The sequence below is a fragment of the Homo sapiens genome, chromosome 18, assembly GCF_000001405.40.
Source record: "Homo sapiens chromosome 18, GRCh38.p14 Primary Assembly".
NCBI lineage: Eukaryota > Metazoa > Chordata > Mammalia > Primates > Hominidae > Homo > Homo sapiens.
In genome coordinates this window covers 56766367-56783981 of record NC_000018.10, presented here as the reverse complement: position 1 = coordinate 56783981, position 17615 = coordinate 56766367, and the positions used below count along the sequence as shown (strand labels likewise).

Genomic DNA, 17615 nt, shown 5'->3' with positions numbered 1-17615 from the left:
ATATTTTATTCTCTCTGGGCCTGCTAACACACCTCTCTCCAAACAACATACACAGTTCTGGCACTGCTTCAGGGAGTAATTTGTGGCTATATTTTGCCTTTACCTTGTAGCTAACTTATTCTCTTCTTCCCAGGAATAAAATAAAAAGGCATCCACTACAATTGCTAATGGCATCTCTTTTTCCCAACGTTTTTCTCTGTCAAGAATACAACCCTGTACTAATCTTTGGTGTTTTTCTTAGACCTTTATAAGCAATCAATAATCAAGTCTTAGAAATTATCTTTTATTCTACCCTATCTACATTTAGGTCTGGTTCCCATAACCTCCCTTCTGCAATAGCCTGCCAGCTAGTTATTCTACTTTAATCAATTTCCCTACTTCACACGAGTCCATTTGGAATAAAGATGTCTTAAAAGCACCAATGTCTCAATATTTCCATAATAGCATTCTTATTTTTAAAAAAATTCTTTAGTGATTTGCCATTGCCTATTTTCACCTTCAAACAACTCTGTAAATACTATAGTCATAGTTTGTCCTTAATTTTGGGGATCTTATATTCAATAAAGCTTATGATGAGATGATCATCTAACTATATTTTCTGGAATATTATAAAGTTAATGCCCACAAATTATGAACAAAGAACACTTTTTCCGGACTACCTTCTCATCTACTCAAAGACAAAGTTCTTTTCATCCCAATTTTATTTTTTTGAAACTCTTTTTTATATTCTGGAAATTTGAAAATCTGCACATATTTTTAAAACAATCTTAAGCCTAATAACTTAGAGTCTATATGTCTAGATGCCTTGTTTTTTTTTTTAACTTAATTTGCTTTATTAAAATAGAAAAATTTCCAGAAAGCAAATGATAACCTATATTCACTAAGTAAATATTTTATTGCTCAAACAATTAAGAATTTTCACTGGAGCTGTTAATGTGTGATACTTCGGCTATAAGTGAAATAAATATTTGCATTTTTATAGATTATAAAGTATTTAACAAAAGTATTATGCTTACTATGGGCTAGGAATTGTTCTACGCACTTAACAAAGATTAACTCATGCCACACACATAATAACCCTATAAAGTCCTATTATCATCTTTATTTCATCTGCGATAAAACTGAGACTAAGAAAGCTTAAGAAAAGTGCCCAAGGTCACATGCTTGATTAAACATCCACTAGAGTCACCACTGGCAAAGATCTGGTAGAGTTTAAACCAGATATAAAAGTTATAAACCTTTCTGAATTTTGTTTTCATTTTCCTTCTTGTATAATAATGTACTGTCCATCTTGACATGTGTAATGAGTATTTCATTACAAAGAATAACTGGTATTGGCAAAAGGTCATTTAAAATGAGTCCACCTAAAACCCAGGCCAAATTTTCATAATAAAAAGTTTTTTTTAAAGTTTCACTCACACTTTATCTTGCAAAACTGAAAATTTATCTTACAATGAATATAATTTAGGGTAAAATTTTAATTTTAATTCAATATAATTTAGGGTAAAATTTTTTAATCAATATAATTAAGAGCAAAATTAAAATTTTATTTGACTCAATTATATTGATTATAATTTAGTCACTTAGTAACTGAGGGACCTTAAAAAAATTATTTAGTAACTAAACTGTTTTTAGAAAAATATAAAACAAACCAAACAAAAATACAAAACCAACCAAATGATGAACTGGGAATGAGTATGCTCATTATGATAGCAAAATACAACTCTTTTCCAATGCACATTCAATGTAGCAACATAATTATAAAGCTTTTATTTTGCAAAAGAATATTCAAAAAATTTCAACAATTTTTCTAATCCTTTCAAATTATACTCTTTTGAAAGATTTATCCATCAAAATCCTTCCCAATTTTCTCTTTGTAAATATTGCCTGAGTCTAACTCTATCAGATCTTTGTTTTTCTAAGGATTCACAATCCCAACTTTAACTAGCAAGAGAGTTTGCCTTGTATCTGCACTTGCATATCATCAGATCCATATCGAACAAGCTGGCATCCATAAGCATAATAATGCAATGGGCGGAGGCACATGTTAGTACTAGAGTAGGATGTTTGATGGGGAATTCATTTATAAAAGTCAGTTCATTAATGAATATTTTGATATAGACAGCCTTTGCCTTTTGTTTTTTAAAGCAAGTTCCAAACTACAGAGATTCAGAAAATAATAAAGTGAATTTGAGGATCTGTTCTTTTCACTTTAAGGTCAGTGACTCATTTTTGTTGATGGGTAGTAGCATATATATTTGTGAGTACAGGTACCTTTTCTACATATTCCTGCAAAGCTTTGTAGAGAAGCATGAGAACTCTTACGTGATATGACGTGGTCTATGTACTGAGGTAAGTAAGGAGCCCAGGCATCAATGGCTTCCTTCCTGCCTGCCTGCTCAATTCTTCTCAGTTCCGCCAGAAGCAGGGCCTGCGCGGCTTCTCTCACCTAAGACCACAGACCCAAATGTAAAAGCAGAAAGCAGATTAGTTGAGGAGGTGAATATTCATAAACTAGAAAATTTATAATGAAATAAGGCTAGAAAACATAAAAACCATATTTATTTACATGAAAAACACTATTAACCGAATGAGTTAACTACTTAAAAATCAGATGCTAGCAAATCATCAAAGATATTTTAATTAATGATTTCACTGAAAACTATTTTAACACTAATGGAAAGAATTAGGTTTCAACAATTTAATCACTGCATTTTCCAAAGCATTCTTGAACTTTAAAACTGCATTTTCCAAAGCATTTTTGAACTTTAATGTAGCATTTTACTTTTAAAATTTCTATATTAACATTATTGTTAAGCCACTGTGAGAGCTATTGTTTTTTTAGCTTGAAGTTAACCTTATCTATTTAATTTCTTTATATTATATATGCTAAGTAGATACTATTTATACAAACAAATACGTATAAGTTAACATGATTCACGTATACCTAAGACATGCTTAAACAATGTTTTTGACAAATAAATATTCCTGTATAAAGGCATAACTTATTTTAGTTTTATAGAGGAAATCATTTTTCAAAATTATATATTTTTCTTTCAATGTAGCATACAAATTTTATTTTGCAGTTTTAATTTAGTGTTATTTTGGCAAAAATGCCACAGGCATGAAGTCAAAAAAGCTAGTCAATTATTAAGTGCTGTACCAATTTATTAACTTTTTCTGAGACCAAGTGTTGCCCTGTTGACCAGGCTGGAGTGCCATGGCGTGATCTCGGCTCACTGCAACTTCCACCTCCCGGGCTCCAGTAATACTTGGGCCTCAGCCTCCCAAGTAGCTAGGACTACAGGCGTATGCCACCACGACCGGCTAATTTTTTTTTGTATTTTTAGTAGAGACAGGGTTTCACCATGTTGCCCAGGCTGGTCTCACCCACCTGGGCCTCCCAAAGCGTTGGGATTACAGGCATGACCCACATCACCCGGCCTATTAACTCTTTATAATTGAAAAGATAACTTAGCAGCATCTAAATAAAAACAACTTTTTTACTGGTACTTTTAAGTATAAGTGACTTCTGAAGTGAATTCAAAATATTATTCAATGAAAATGCTAGTATTCTGCAATCCCATTTGGAGTTGAGAGGAGAAAGTCTAGGAAAGAAGCAATTATATTACTCGTACTTATATTTGGAAAATTAAGAATCCTGGATAATATAAACTGCTATGGCTATACAGGTCGAATGCCATAATAAGGAAAATCTTTATTAAACATTTTCAAGTGCTTGGTAATATTATATTCCAAGTAATATCTAATATAGAATAAGGCCATTAACACAAAATAGTGGCTACCATTTAGTGAGCTCCTACCATGTGTCAGGTACTGTACTTCCTGTTTTACTTGCATCATCTGATTTGATCCTGACGGCAATCCCATGAGGAATATATTATTATCCCCACTTTATAAATGAGCTTTAAATAGGTTAAGTAAATTGCCCAGGGTCACAAAGTTCATAATTGGTGGGACTGATATTTAAACCCAGGTGTCTTCTAATTCCAAGGCCTCCTTTTACAATAACACACTACCTTTCACTGAAATATGGCAATTGAATTAGAACTTAATTTATGTGATGACACTGAGTGTGTAATTCTGGGGGAAGCAGGTTTATGTATTTGTTTATGCATGAGTGTGTGTGATCCGTACAGAAACCAAACTTAAGAAATAGTTCCATAAAGTATATAAGACTTCATCAAACAGTCACTGAATTCTTTAAAAGTAAACGAATAAACCAGCTGGAGCATTACTGGTTGGTATAAAAGCTGACAAAGAAGAAAACATAAATCATGAATCCACATTTTCTATCACATAATGAACAGATGATAAATCAGATAAACAGTAATCATTTTTGTTTCAAGTTTACATTTGACCAATGCCTTTTTAATATTTTTGTTTTCTATCCTTATCACTTTAGCATTACCTCCAAGCATCGATCTTGCCATCTTCGGGCCAGCATCTCCAGAAGGGGAGGCCTAAATTTATCCAATCCCAGTAGGTCTGGCAGCATAACACAGTGCATAGCAGCTAACTGACTCCAACCTGTCAAAAATGTAATATATTACAAATTCTTTAACCATTTTGGCATTCCCTAAGTCAACAGTTCTTTATGTAAGTATACCAAAAACAAAAAAAGGCAGATCTGCTAAGTTATATTACAAATGATTTCAATTTAATAGTAGACACTTTGTGCAAAGAATTATACTAAACGTATTTCATCCCTAAATCATGTAATTGGTGCCTATAAGAATTCTCAACATCTTAAAAGAAATAAAAATAAATTTCCACTGGAAGTATATCCAAATTCACAAGAAAAACACATTTCTTAACAGTCCCTCTAAAATAAAATATATATTAAAGAATGGCAAAACACAGAAATAAACACATACTAGAGCTATAGATTTGAAACCACTGTCAGTTAAAAGGGCATTCACACAGATATCCAAAAATAGGTTCATGTCACTTAAGGCATGGCCATCTGTGTGTTACCACTGTGTCAGCCAAAAGAGATGTCCTCCATTTCTGTCAGAGGACCTCTCATTAAGGTACCTTTTCTTACAAAATGAATCAGATTAAATATCTAACCATAATATCTAATATTTAAAGTAACATAACCCCCAATTTGGAAAGAAAAAAATGAATTCAGACATTCCACAAAATAAAAACCTAACAATTCAAAATTTACAAAATCTTAAACATTGTTAAACCTAATCTATGACAATAAAAGTGACTTTTTCTAAAATTCTAATTCACAATATGGAACTTGATTATAGGAAAAAAAGACAAACACTGTATGCCAGTGCAAAGTGTAAAAATATTAGATAACAGACATTCCCAAATAGTCACTCCAATGCCATTTTAAAGGTATGTGAAAATAGATACACAATAACTGAAGTATTAGATAACAGACATTCCCAAATAATCACTGCAACCCCATTTTAAAGGTATGTGAAAATACATATACAATAAATTCCTCATTCTTACCAAATTATCGATGAGGCCACTATTAACCCATGATAATTACCATTACCTCCTAGGGATAATATTTAAAGACAAGTAATCAAAGATGGGTGCAAAAAAAAGTCTGCTATCATGTTACAAGATGAATTATCTGTGAAGATAGAATTTTAGCAAATCAGTGTTTTGAAATAATCTAAACTGTAATCTTCTTAAAATAATGACAAAAACCTTACCATAAAATTTTAAATTATTGGAATTGCCAAAGAGAGTGAATGAGAGCGGGAGAGAGACAGACTGACAAGCCACTTATCTAAAGATTCATCCTTTCAGTGAGGAAATTCTCATCAACTGATAATAAACATGTAATTACATTAATTAAGGTGATGGAAACACATTTTAGATTATAACTTCTTTATAATAGAGGGAGATATACTTTAGATATACATATATGTATATACCTAGTAATTTCCTAAAGTATTTCAATGTTTCATATAAGTATAAAGTGTATTCATGAGCTAAATTTTAACATATGGTGATTCTCACCAAGGTCCAAACAGCTTATTTTTTGAATTAACAAATAGTGTAACAAATATGACCCAAATTATTTTGGTAAAGTTCGAATTTTGCTAAAATTCGGTCTTAACATACAAACCTTATTAAAGTTCTATGACAAGGAAACCAAAAATGAAGTTACACTTTTAAGTCCCCATGTTTTCTTTCCAAAGGAGTGGTGCTTGCAACATGGGCTCTGTACTTTATGGCCACTGGAAGATTCCAGATTGCAAGATTCCTTCCATTTGAAAAATGCTTTTTCATGAAGAGCCAGGTCTTACTGTTATATTTTTGATTTTGAAAATGTCTTCCTTTTTATGTTATGCAAAGTGGTAACTACAAACGCAATGAAGACAGTGGATGTAACTCAGAGCTCACGTTTCATTAAGCTTCTGGGCAGTACAAATAATCCTAGATAGGTCTTATGGAATAAAGGTTTGTAGGTCCCATTCCCATTTTCAGGGCTCCAAAAATACTTTCGACTTGTGTAACTCCACAGAGATAACATGGTAGCCCAACTACGCCTTAAATACTGAAATAATGAATTTTTGCCTGAGCTTAAAACAGAAATAGTAAAGAGGGTAAATAGGTAAATTCCTATCAGTCTATAATCACTGGTGCCAATAATCAATCTGAAGACTTTTCCAATGAGAATGTTAAGAGATTCCCTCACAACTCCCTCTAACTGGCATACACAATTGTGAAAAGGCAGCAAAGTGTGTCTGCCACCAAGTAATGATACATATAAAATAAATTCATTAGCTCTAATGCCAGAGATCAAATGGCAAACATCATTACAAAAACCAATCCACCTTTATCACTGACTTTACATCAAAGATTGGCATCTCTGCACTTAACAGTAGTCTAGATTATAGAAAACATGGATTATACCAGCCAGAGGTAACATTACATTTTTAAAACTGGTTCTTGTCATTGACATTAGCAAATAAAGTCATAAAATGGGAACTTTAGAATCTCATACATAACAAAGCAGATGAATGTGTAACTCAGATAAAAAGAACATGTCTGTCAGAATAAAGCACAGATTGAGAGAAAGTTGTTAGAAGTTGAGAGAGATACCTTCATTTACTAAGAAACAGGTATGTAAAGCAGGAGCAGAAGGAGGGTCAGAGCCAGAGTGATCAGCATCAGACCGAGCGGAAACGACAGGTGCAGCAACTTGCAGAGGAAAAGAGAAGAAGTAAAGAGGAGAGAATTGAAGTACAGCAGTTTCTGAAAAAAAGCTTAGTATTAGTGAAGAATGAAAAACAAAGTAGGCAAAACAGAGAATGTAGAACTGAAACGATGTTTTCATCAGAAAGGCATGATCATTAAAGATTACAGCAGAAAAATGATATATTTTATTGAACAGTAATCACAATATAGTTCAAATTCATCTTAGAGTCAAAATCTAATATTCTGATGAATGTATTGACTAATGCAAAACATAGCTCTAAAACAACTAGAGCCATCATGAAAAAATGACAGTAAAAATTAGCAAAAATGTTATTCAATTTTTAAAATGTATCACGATGAAAAAGCTTTATGTTGGTCTTCATATTGTCAGTTACATTTTCCTAACAGTTTATTCTCTGACATTATGTGTAAATTATTTTTAAATTTTCAAACCAATATTCACTAAGATCATTTCAACTTTTCACACTTATTTTATGAAAACTCAATTTAAAATATCCCAACTTGCAAAGAATATATATACCATGTTTAACTCTTGTTAAAAGAATCCTAACAGGTTCATTCATTGGAGTTTTTTTTTTTTAATTATTTCACAAATACTCCCTATGCTAAAAAAAAATTTTTGTGAATTTTATATTTCTTATAGAGGTACCAATTCACTCCCTAACCCCTCAAGAAAGTTATGTTGCCAAGAAAATGTTTCAGCTTAAATTATCATACGAAAAAGCAAAAGGACCGTATGGCACACACATTCTACAACTGGAGGTCAATGTTAAGATTTAGAGGTCACCATTTGACACTTCTTTCCTATGGCGAAATTACCATATGTCATGCACAAGCATCTTCAAATTAATCCCTCTCCTTTCTTCTGTCATTGAACAGCAATAGGTTTGGGCTCCTGAACAGATTAAGCATTGTCTGCTGAATGATATGTTTGCTTTTCATGCAGTGAAGTTCTTTTGTGACAACAGAACAGCTGCATGAAAACAACTTTTTCATAATTTCCACACGAATGCATCATAATGTCAATCAGGCACGTGTGAGGTAAACAGTAGAACGAAAAGAAGTCCATGAAAAATAACACAAAAAGCAACTCTAACTCCATAAACCCTAAGAAGCACGTCTTGCACAAATGAAAGTTTCATCTAGGAAATTATAATTCTTTATTATTATAAGAGATCTGATTTTTGTTCCTTATGAAATTAAAATTATTTTACAATGTTATACTTATGAAATAAATAGAGCTACTTTTAATTCTATATTTCATAAGACCTACAAACTCCATTACAAAGTAATCTTGCAAAGAAATCCCAAATATTTCTATATTCCAGGGAATAATTTTATCATTTTTAATTACAAATTCAGTGATTATGACTTATAAATTATTCATCCTCCATGCAAAAAGTTGGTAAGCCTTGGTAGCCAGGAGTAAATTTGCAGGTTTTAATTTTTGTTCTGCCAAAATGTTCCTCTGGTGGCTTCAGTTAGGACTTTTCCATAATTTCACTTTTTCAAAAATGGGGAGAAATTGTTATCCCTGGAAAGGCTGTGTTAATTTTGCATGGTTTTACTCTTAATTCTGAAAGGACAATAGAATGAGAGGGTGAGGAAATTCAATACAAATGAATAAAAGTTTAGGATTGAGTGGTCATTACCCTAACACAAGTCAAATAAGTCGTGGGATTAATGATTCCTATAAGGAACAAGTGTAAAAGGAAACTAGAAACGTTACTGGCAGAAATGCTAGAATAGGCGTATGTCTTAATAGAATATTGTTTAACATATTAACTATTTTTAAGGAAAGAAAAAAACAGATTCTCGATATTGTATTTTTGAAGTCATATTTAAATGACATTTCATTTAGAAAAAAAGGCATTTACACTCATCCTTTAATAAATTTTATGGGCACTAAAAATCAAGAAAAATATTGTAATAGAAATCAAAGAATCAGATTTACTATGCTTTAAAAATCTCTGCATCACCACCAAAAAATACTTCATTCACACTACCTCACAACTGAAATGGCAAAATCTACAGCACTTTCAAAATTCATCAGGAAATTAAACTCTGCTACAGCTTTCACAACTATCTACATAAGAAAAATCAGCAATTAGCAGAAAAAATTACTTCCAAGATAAAAAGCTCAAGATTTAATAAATAATAAATCTGAAGTTGCATGGGGCACTGAATATGAAAGATTTACACCATAAAACATAATCAAGCATTTGATTTCTTAACAGAAAAGCTGCTATGTCACCTATCAATTTGCTTCTCTTATTAAGGATTGGGAAAACAGCTGTAGCACAGCTTCAACATAGTGACAAAATTAACACAGTTCCATTATTTTATCTGAGCCGCTTCAACTGCTTACTCTCATAAGAAAAGACAGGTGAAGATAAATAAACGTGTGTGACAACGTGTATATGCACACATCTGCCCTGGCCTCCCCTTACATAGCACATACATATCCAATATTATAACATCCCTAGATTCTGCTTCTCAACAGGAATATTTGAGTTTTTAATTGAAATTTGATTCTAAACTCCATTTAAATTTGATTCTAAACTACTCCTATTGTGATATTAAAATATTTATAGGACAGAAAGTTAACATACTTCGGGTGCTCCATACATATTGGTCTAAATCTCATTATCTTCCTAGCACATAAACACAAGTAGCCCTTTTCAATACATTTTTCAGAGAAAAAAATTTTTAAAGTACAAAAAAATGCAATGTTTAAAAAAGTAAGTTTTTTTCAAAGCTTAATACTAAAAAAAGAATACAATTATTTAATGATGAGTCCTTTTAAAGTATTTCATGGTAATCACGATGTTATGGGGAGGGTGGGTGAGGGGAGAGAAGAAGGAAGAGAAGAAAGAGAAAACATGAAAAAATTAGAAGTTAAGAAGCTTTGTAGAATTAACCACCACGTACTTAACATAAAGGCATTCGGCACTGAGTCTGCATCTAGTCCAGATATTATAGAGCAACATTTGGCTTTTTATAAGTTTTCTTTTGTGTCAATACTTTTATGTTTTAGGTAGATGGGCATTTTAGCCACCTTATAAATCAACATGAAACATTTGGATAAATCATTAGTTCAGGTTTCATTGCCTCTTTTTTAATGCTTGACTTTTTGAGGTACAAAACTAGATAATGCAACAACCTGTTTGGTTATGTATAATATATCATATCTCCAATGCTTCATGCAATTGCCATAATTAATGCACTAACTTTGCTATGAATGCAATATTGGCAAGAAAACTAATTCTCCTTCCAATTCCTTTTGTTATCTGAAAAATTCCCATTCGATATTTCCTAATGCCAAAAAGATTACAAAAAGCTATACCAATACATTTAACTATCATCATGAATAGAAGGTTTGAAAACAAATACATTAGTAATGAATGATAAAAAAAAAAACTTCTCTTTAAAGAAAGGAAGCCTCCAACCTTGTATGTGTAGTAATCATAAAGACTGTCTTGAAGCCCCGTTACAATGCTACCCTTTAGCATCGTACTACCAGACCCAGATAAAAACAAAAGTGCCTTCATAAGGGGCCCTATTTCTATTTCAGGAACCCTGCCTCATTAAATTAATCTACAAAATATGTCCAATAAGCTAGAGCTATTTTGTTGTTATTATACAAGAAGGCACTGTGCTTTAATTCTGCATGTTTTAATATGTCCAATAGAATTGGCAGCTCATGCAACATAAAGGGCAATAATATAAGCACAGTTTTAATACGTCAAACAGTATTAAAAAGCTCATTTTGAATACAGGATTCCCCTGCCCCATCCCCAAGTATGGCTTCTGATAGGAAACCATTTTCAAACATTTTAACTGTTTCTTACAGCATTTACTTCTATATCATTAAATAATATGCTAATCCTGCAATTTCTTGCTTTACCAAATCTAAACATTAGCTATTGGTTTCCACCAATACTGTGGAAGATGATTTAACTTTGCCAAACCACATCTCCTAACCAATCTCCTTTCCTTTACTCCCAATATAAATATATATACTATCTATATATTATTTTAGATTTTTCTATTATATAGGTATATTTTATATGATATATATCTCTATACGAATAGTCATTTATATAGAGAGATAAATATCTCTATGTCTATGGAAATAATGTTCAATGTTGACTCAAATAGCTTACTAAGATCATACTTCTTTCCTTGGACACCTTGCTGGGGATTTTTTCAGAATTTAAAAATTATATTTTCTCCCCATTTGTCTTCTTTTCTGTGTACCTATTTCTTCTAAGTTAAACCCCTCGATAGCTTCTCAATGATTTTTCACAGAGCAGTGTCATTTTTCCTTGAACCATCTCTTCGGAAGCCATCTCACAGCCCTGCTTGTATCTGCCACGTGGTTACCATCCTGAGACTTTCCTTCACTGTAATCCTTCACTGATGACCATGTCAGGTCACAAGTGCTCCCCTCAATGGGTTTCCCAGTTCCTGGGCCCCATGTTTTATTTTTCCTTGGTTTACTTCTTTATTTTGATGGAGCACATCTTGCAAAACTTTGCTGAGAAAAGGTACTCTATATAGTAATAGTAATTTTTTTAAGACTATGAGTGTCTGAAATTGCTATTATTCTGCCTTTTTGACTGATGGTTTGCATTCAGAATTCTAAAAATGCAAAAATTATCTTCTCTCTAGCTTTTTTTTTTTTTTTTTTTTTTTTTTTTGAGACAGGGTCTTGCTCTGTCACCCAGGCTGGAGTGTAGTGGTGTGATCACAGCTCACTGCAGCTTCAACCACCTGGTCTCAAGCCATCTTCCCAACCTCAGCAACCTGAGTAGCTGGGACTACAGGTGCACACCATCACACCCCGATAATTTCTGTATTTTTTTTTTCTTCTTCTTTGAGATGGAGTTTCGCTCTTGTTGCCCAGGCTGGAGTGCAATGGCATGATCTTGGCTCACCACAACCTCTGCCTCCTGGGTTCAAGAGATTCTCTTGCCTCAGCCTCCTGAGTAGCTGGGATCATAGGTGCGCACCACCACACCTGGCTAATTTTGTATTTTCTAGTAGAGATGGGGTTTCTCCAAGTTGGTCAGGCTGGTCTCAAACTCCAGACCTCAGGTGATCTGCCCACCTCAATCTCCCAAAGTGCCAGGATTACAGGCATGAACCACCGTGCCCGGCCAGTATTTTTTTTTTTCTTTTTTTGGGGGGGGGTGGGGGAGGGTAGAGATGGGGTTTTGCCATGTCACCCAGGCTGGTCTCAAACTCTTGCATTCAAGCAATCCACCTACCTCAGCCTCCCAAATTCCTGGGACTAAAGGCATGAGCCACCACGCTCCACCTTTCCTACACATTTTTAAGAAACACACATCTCCTAACCAATCTTCATCATCCTCTCTTTAGCTTAGGGTTACTATTAAGAAGGCCAATAACATTTTTACTCTTTACATATAACTAATGAAACTGTTAAAGTTAGTCCAAACGTTACAAGAAACCATACAGAGAAAATGAACATCATATAAGTACTATGATCATGAAACAGAGATGTATTTGGAAATTAATGACAAAAGCAATTATATTAGCAGCTATGATAATTTCAAATATGCTACTTACACAATGTTAAAGTTTTGGTGGTATTGGTATTTCTGGACACTGCATTTCATAAACAAATTCCTATCCTAAAAAGTCACTGCAGAGTTCTTGGGCAATATGGACATAATTGTTTGGGTCAGTTGTTGTAGGGAATAAATGAAAAACACAGAGGAAAGTGCATGGTATGTACTAAGTAAATATATTTAGTCATGTTATAAATTCATTAATACCATTCATCATGGTGCTGATACAAACAATATATGCAAACCTTATTTAAGTGATGGACTCATTCATAATATAGACCCTTTCCATTAGATAGGAAACCACCAACTGAACACGTTTAGAAGCAATATAGAAATGCAATGTCCAAAGATTCTTAGGGAAAAAAAAAGGATATCCTTAAAACACCATAAAAGAAGACCACAAAAAACTAAGGGAAATAGGGCAGTACAAAGGTGCAGGCAGCAGAAAGGTAAGGACTTACCAGAGCAGAATGAATTAGCAGCCCAACAGGTACACAAGACAACACATGAAGGTGCTCATAATGTTTAAAAAATACAGTCACACTACTTCACCTGTACATCACCACTGGATTATATCAGAAGTGCAATAAACACAGATGTGATGAAAATTTTACCTTGGCCTATAACTCAAATCAAAAAGTCAAAAAACAAAGTTTCTGTAAAAGGTTTCCCTCATTACTAACGTCCAAAATAAACCAATGAGTTCTCTAAGACCAAGAACCATGGGGAGAGAGTTCATTGTAAAAGATAAATGTATAACATAAACACTAACTTGAATTTGGTATATGAAGGCTATTAAAATTTTCTACTTCACTTAACACTAAATAAGTAACAATTACTATATGTCGATATTGGGCTAAGCACACAAAAACACACAAAGATAAGACAAAGTGTCTGCCCTCAAGGCACTCATTGTCTAGAAAAGCATATAATAACCAATTAAAATATTATCATAAATTGCACTCCTGTGGATTTTCTCCAATAGACATAATAAGCACCTTGAGGGCAGAGATTTGTCAGCCCTTACAGCCTCAGCACGTAGTTATTGACATACTGACTCCAGAAACATAAAGAGAAGGTTATCTGTAGATTCATTCATTCAGTAAATATTTCCTGAGCTCCTTCTATGTATCAGCCACTGTTCCAAGCACTTGGGATAAATCACTAAACAAAGCAGAAAAAAAATGTCCCTACCCTTTGAGCTTCCACAGCAAATCAAAGGTGTACACCAATTAAAAAAAATAAAGGCACAGAAAGTCAAATCCGCCAAATTTTAAGGGATTCTCAGATACATTCCTTAATATGATGTATGGACTCTATGTTAAGTACTGTTTATTTCTCTATAAATCCTGGAAAAGAATAGTGATTAAACTATTGTTTAATTTATATAACTCTTTCCTGAGATAATTTAACAATGACCACCTCTTACTTCTAAGTTTAGACAACCTAAATTGAACCCATTTCTGAAAAATAAAGTTGCAAAGAACATAACATAATCTTAAACTTTACATTGCTTAAACTTGCTTGGGCACCTCCCACTGAGTAAAGATGCAACTACTAAACATAAAGATATGGTCACAATCAAGATAAGCACTAGAGACACAGACCAGAGACTTACGTCATGAGATTAATGAATAGAGAGAAATACAGTACATTAGAACGTAGAACAGTCAGGCACAGAGGCTTACTCCTGTAATCGCAGCACTTTGGGAGGTTGGGGTGGGAGGATCACTTGAGCCCAGGAGTTCGAAACCAGCCTGGGCAATATGGTGAAACTCCATTTCTACAACAAATTTAAAATTAACTGGGCATGGTGGCCTTTGACTATAGTCCCAACTATTCAAGAGCCTCGACTGGAAGTCGAGGCTGCGGTAAGCCACGATTGCACCACTGCGGTCCAGCCTGGACAAGAGAGTGAGACTCCGTCTCAAAGGAAAAAAAAAAAAAGCAGAAAAGCCTAAAGCCATGAGCAGACTTACAGCTATATTTACCATGAATAAAAGTGTGGTTATTTGATAACTCTAATCCCTTTTTCTCAAGTAGCATGTTTCATAAACCGCAAAATCAAGTGTCAAAAAAAATAAACTGTATAAAAAAAAGTAGACAAGTGACAATAAATGTTAATTATTGACAAACATTGAATTAACAAGTCCACTGTTAGGCAAAATAAACCTCTTGTGAAGATACTATTTTCCAATGAAGTGCCCTAATATTGGTTATGGAAAATTATATAAGCTGAACTATCTTAACTATCTTTATTCTCAAACCCAAATGTCTATCAAAGTTCCAATCCCCAGCTGAAGTCTTTACTTCATATAGATTATTTGGCAGCTGAACAAGTATTAGCCAACATGCAAGTGACAGCTTATTGAAAAGACGCATATTCATGTTTGCAATACAACTTAAAAAGACATTGTAAGTCAATGTGCACAGTAGAGGAAGTCAGGAAATAAAAAACATAAGAGGAAAATGTTTAGAAGCAAACCAAGCTAAGAAAAGCCAAAGTAGAAAGATGAAAAAATAATGCTCTAACTGCTGAAATATTAGACAACTCAGAGTCCTTTGTATCTCTTACCACTTCCAACCCTAAATTGGTTATTTATGTTCATGTTACCGACTAGACACATACTACTCAAGAGAGTACATGTCAGACCAATCTCTCTAACCTCCCTAACAAGAGTTGTTAGGAGACAAAAATAACTTAATATTTTTGAGAAAACAATTAACACTATATATTTATTTCAATATTAAAATAGAAAGTGAGCTTCATAATGGTATTCTAAAGTATTTTACTATGTAGCTCTCTCTCAGTAGGAACTGCTGGCCTTCATTTACTTTAGAAGAAAAGTATATATGCTTTCCAAATGAAAATTCCTAAATCTATTGCCTTAAATAAATGCTTTTTTTTAAAAAGACCCAATTTTCAAAGCCGCCTTCACTGCTCTCAAAACTCAATGCTTTTCTGAGAGAAGCAATATTAAAGTATTCGAACTTTAAAAATCTTCAGACTTGACCAGGTGAGCAAATCTAACACCATCATGGTGGTGAATATATAATGCATCATGACAATGTCACAAATTATATGAGAATGTTTCCATCTATTATGATTACAGAGAAGGAAAAATGTAATTCAAGAAGAATCACCAACTGTTAAGAATCATAATGAAGATGATGAGGAGGATAACAAATAATATCTCTAACAGAAATAAATATTGAATCGTCCCACCATTGATTCGTTGAGTATATCCTGGAAAATATTGTCAATGAATTCAGAAAAATAAAACATATACTGTTGCAGAAAAAGCACGGGATCTAGAGTTAAAAAGTGCTGGTTGTGTCCTAATCATACTACCATTACTAAGAATACATTAAACAAGTCCCTTGCCAGTATAAGCCTGTTTCCATTTCTACCAGTAATAACACTCTAAAAATATCACAACTCCATATATACAAATAATATTTACTTTATAAAATAATAGATATTTGGAACATTTTTAAATAAAGGGAAAGGAACTTCCACTTCTGGCCAAGATGGAGTAACAAGAAACAGATTTGCAGTCAGGCCCAAAACAACCAAAAACAAACAAACAAAATGACAAAATGTATGAACAATGGTTTTCAAGCCACTGGGCATCATGCAATGAAGGACTGAGAGATGGGAGACAAGCAACGTGAGCCCTGTGATCCTATGATTACCCCAGCTTATTGCCTTAAGAGAGTTCCTAGGTGAAGCTACATGGAGAACAAAGTGAGCAGCCCAGCAGTTTCCCTGAGTTCAGGAGACAAAGCTGAGAGTCTCAGGAAACCAGGGCAGCTAGAATTCAATGTACAGAAAGAAGGGAGCTGCAAAGATCAAAGTTCTTCAGAGGATCTCCCTCAAGTATACAGCAGAATACCAATCAGTACATGTCTGTAAAGAAACTACTCGAGCTGGGGGGAAAATATCTAAAGGACCAGAAACAGTGCCTGCTCCCAACAGCCTAAATGGAAAACCTCATAATTCACAGGGCATTGGATATTCTGGAAGGTTTGGCCTCAGTAATAGGGAGTAATTCATCTTAGAGCACTGCTCCAAATCCACCTAACAAGTCATAAAAGCAAGACCAGGAAAAAAAAGAAACTGTTTCCACATGACATAACTGCATCCCACAACAAAGCTCAAGATTTTTAAGAACACAAAAGTGTCCAGCACCCAAACAGGCAAAATTCAAACATCTCCCATCTATTCTAAGATTATCAAACACGCAAAGAGGCAGGAAAGCACAGTCCACAAGGAGGAGAATAATTAATTTAAACCAACCCAGAACTGACAGAGCTATCAAAATTATCAGTGAAGGGTGTTAAAACATTTATTATAACTGCAATCCATGTATTCAAAGCAGTTAGGTAGAGACAAGGAAAAAAAATTTTAAGACCCAAATCAAAATTCTGGGGACACATATAACAATGTCTGAGATTAAAAGTGAATTGGATGACAGCTGGGCATGGTCACTCATGCCTGCAATCCCAGCACTTTGAGGGGGCCAAACAGGGAAAATTGCTGCAGCCTGGGGGTTCAAGACCAACCTAGGCAACATAGCGAGACACTGTCTCTATAAAAAAAAATAAAAATAAATTTTTAAAGTGCACTGGATGGGACCAATGGCATATTACACATTGCTGAGAAAAGACTAATAAACTTGAAGACATTGCAATGGAAACTATCTCAATCAAAACACAGAGAGGAAAAATAATCCCGAAATAAAAGAGCACCGTGATAGGTGAAACAACTTCAATCAGCCTAACGTACATGTAATTTCA

General features: G+C 33.7%; 1 protein-coding gene across 13 annotated transcripts in view; it reads right to left on the bottom strand.

The window, feature by feature from the left end:
* WDR7 (WD repeat domain 7) overlaps window positions 1-17615 on the bottom strand; it is a 385248-nt gene that overhangs the window by 252625 nt on the left and 115008 nt on the right. For 6 of the 13 annotated variants that reach the window (XR_007066132.1, XR_007066133.1, XR_007066134.1 and 3 more), the window contains exons 17-18: window positions 4433-4551; window positions 2326-2449 (exon numbers count right to left, since the gene is read on the bottom strand). Coding sequence is in view for 9 of the 13 variants with exons in the window: in NM_052834.3 (NP_443066.2) it covers window positions 2326-2449; window positions 4433-4551 (243 nt within the window). In the remaining 4 variants the exon portion in view is untranslated. Of the gene's footprint in view, window positions 1-2325; window positions 2450-4432; window positions 4552-5493; window positions 5543-7101; window positions 7201-17615 lie in introns of those variants that run through there. The other 7 variants (XR_007066131.1, NM_015285.3, XM_011525888.3 and 4 more) reach the window with 3 other exon arrangements.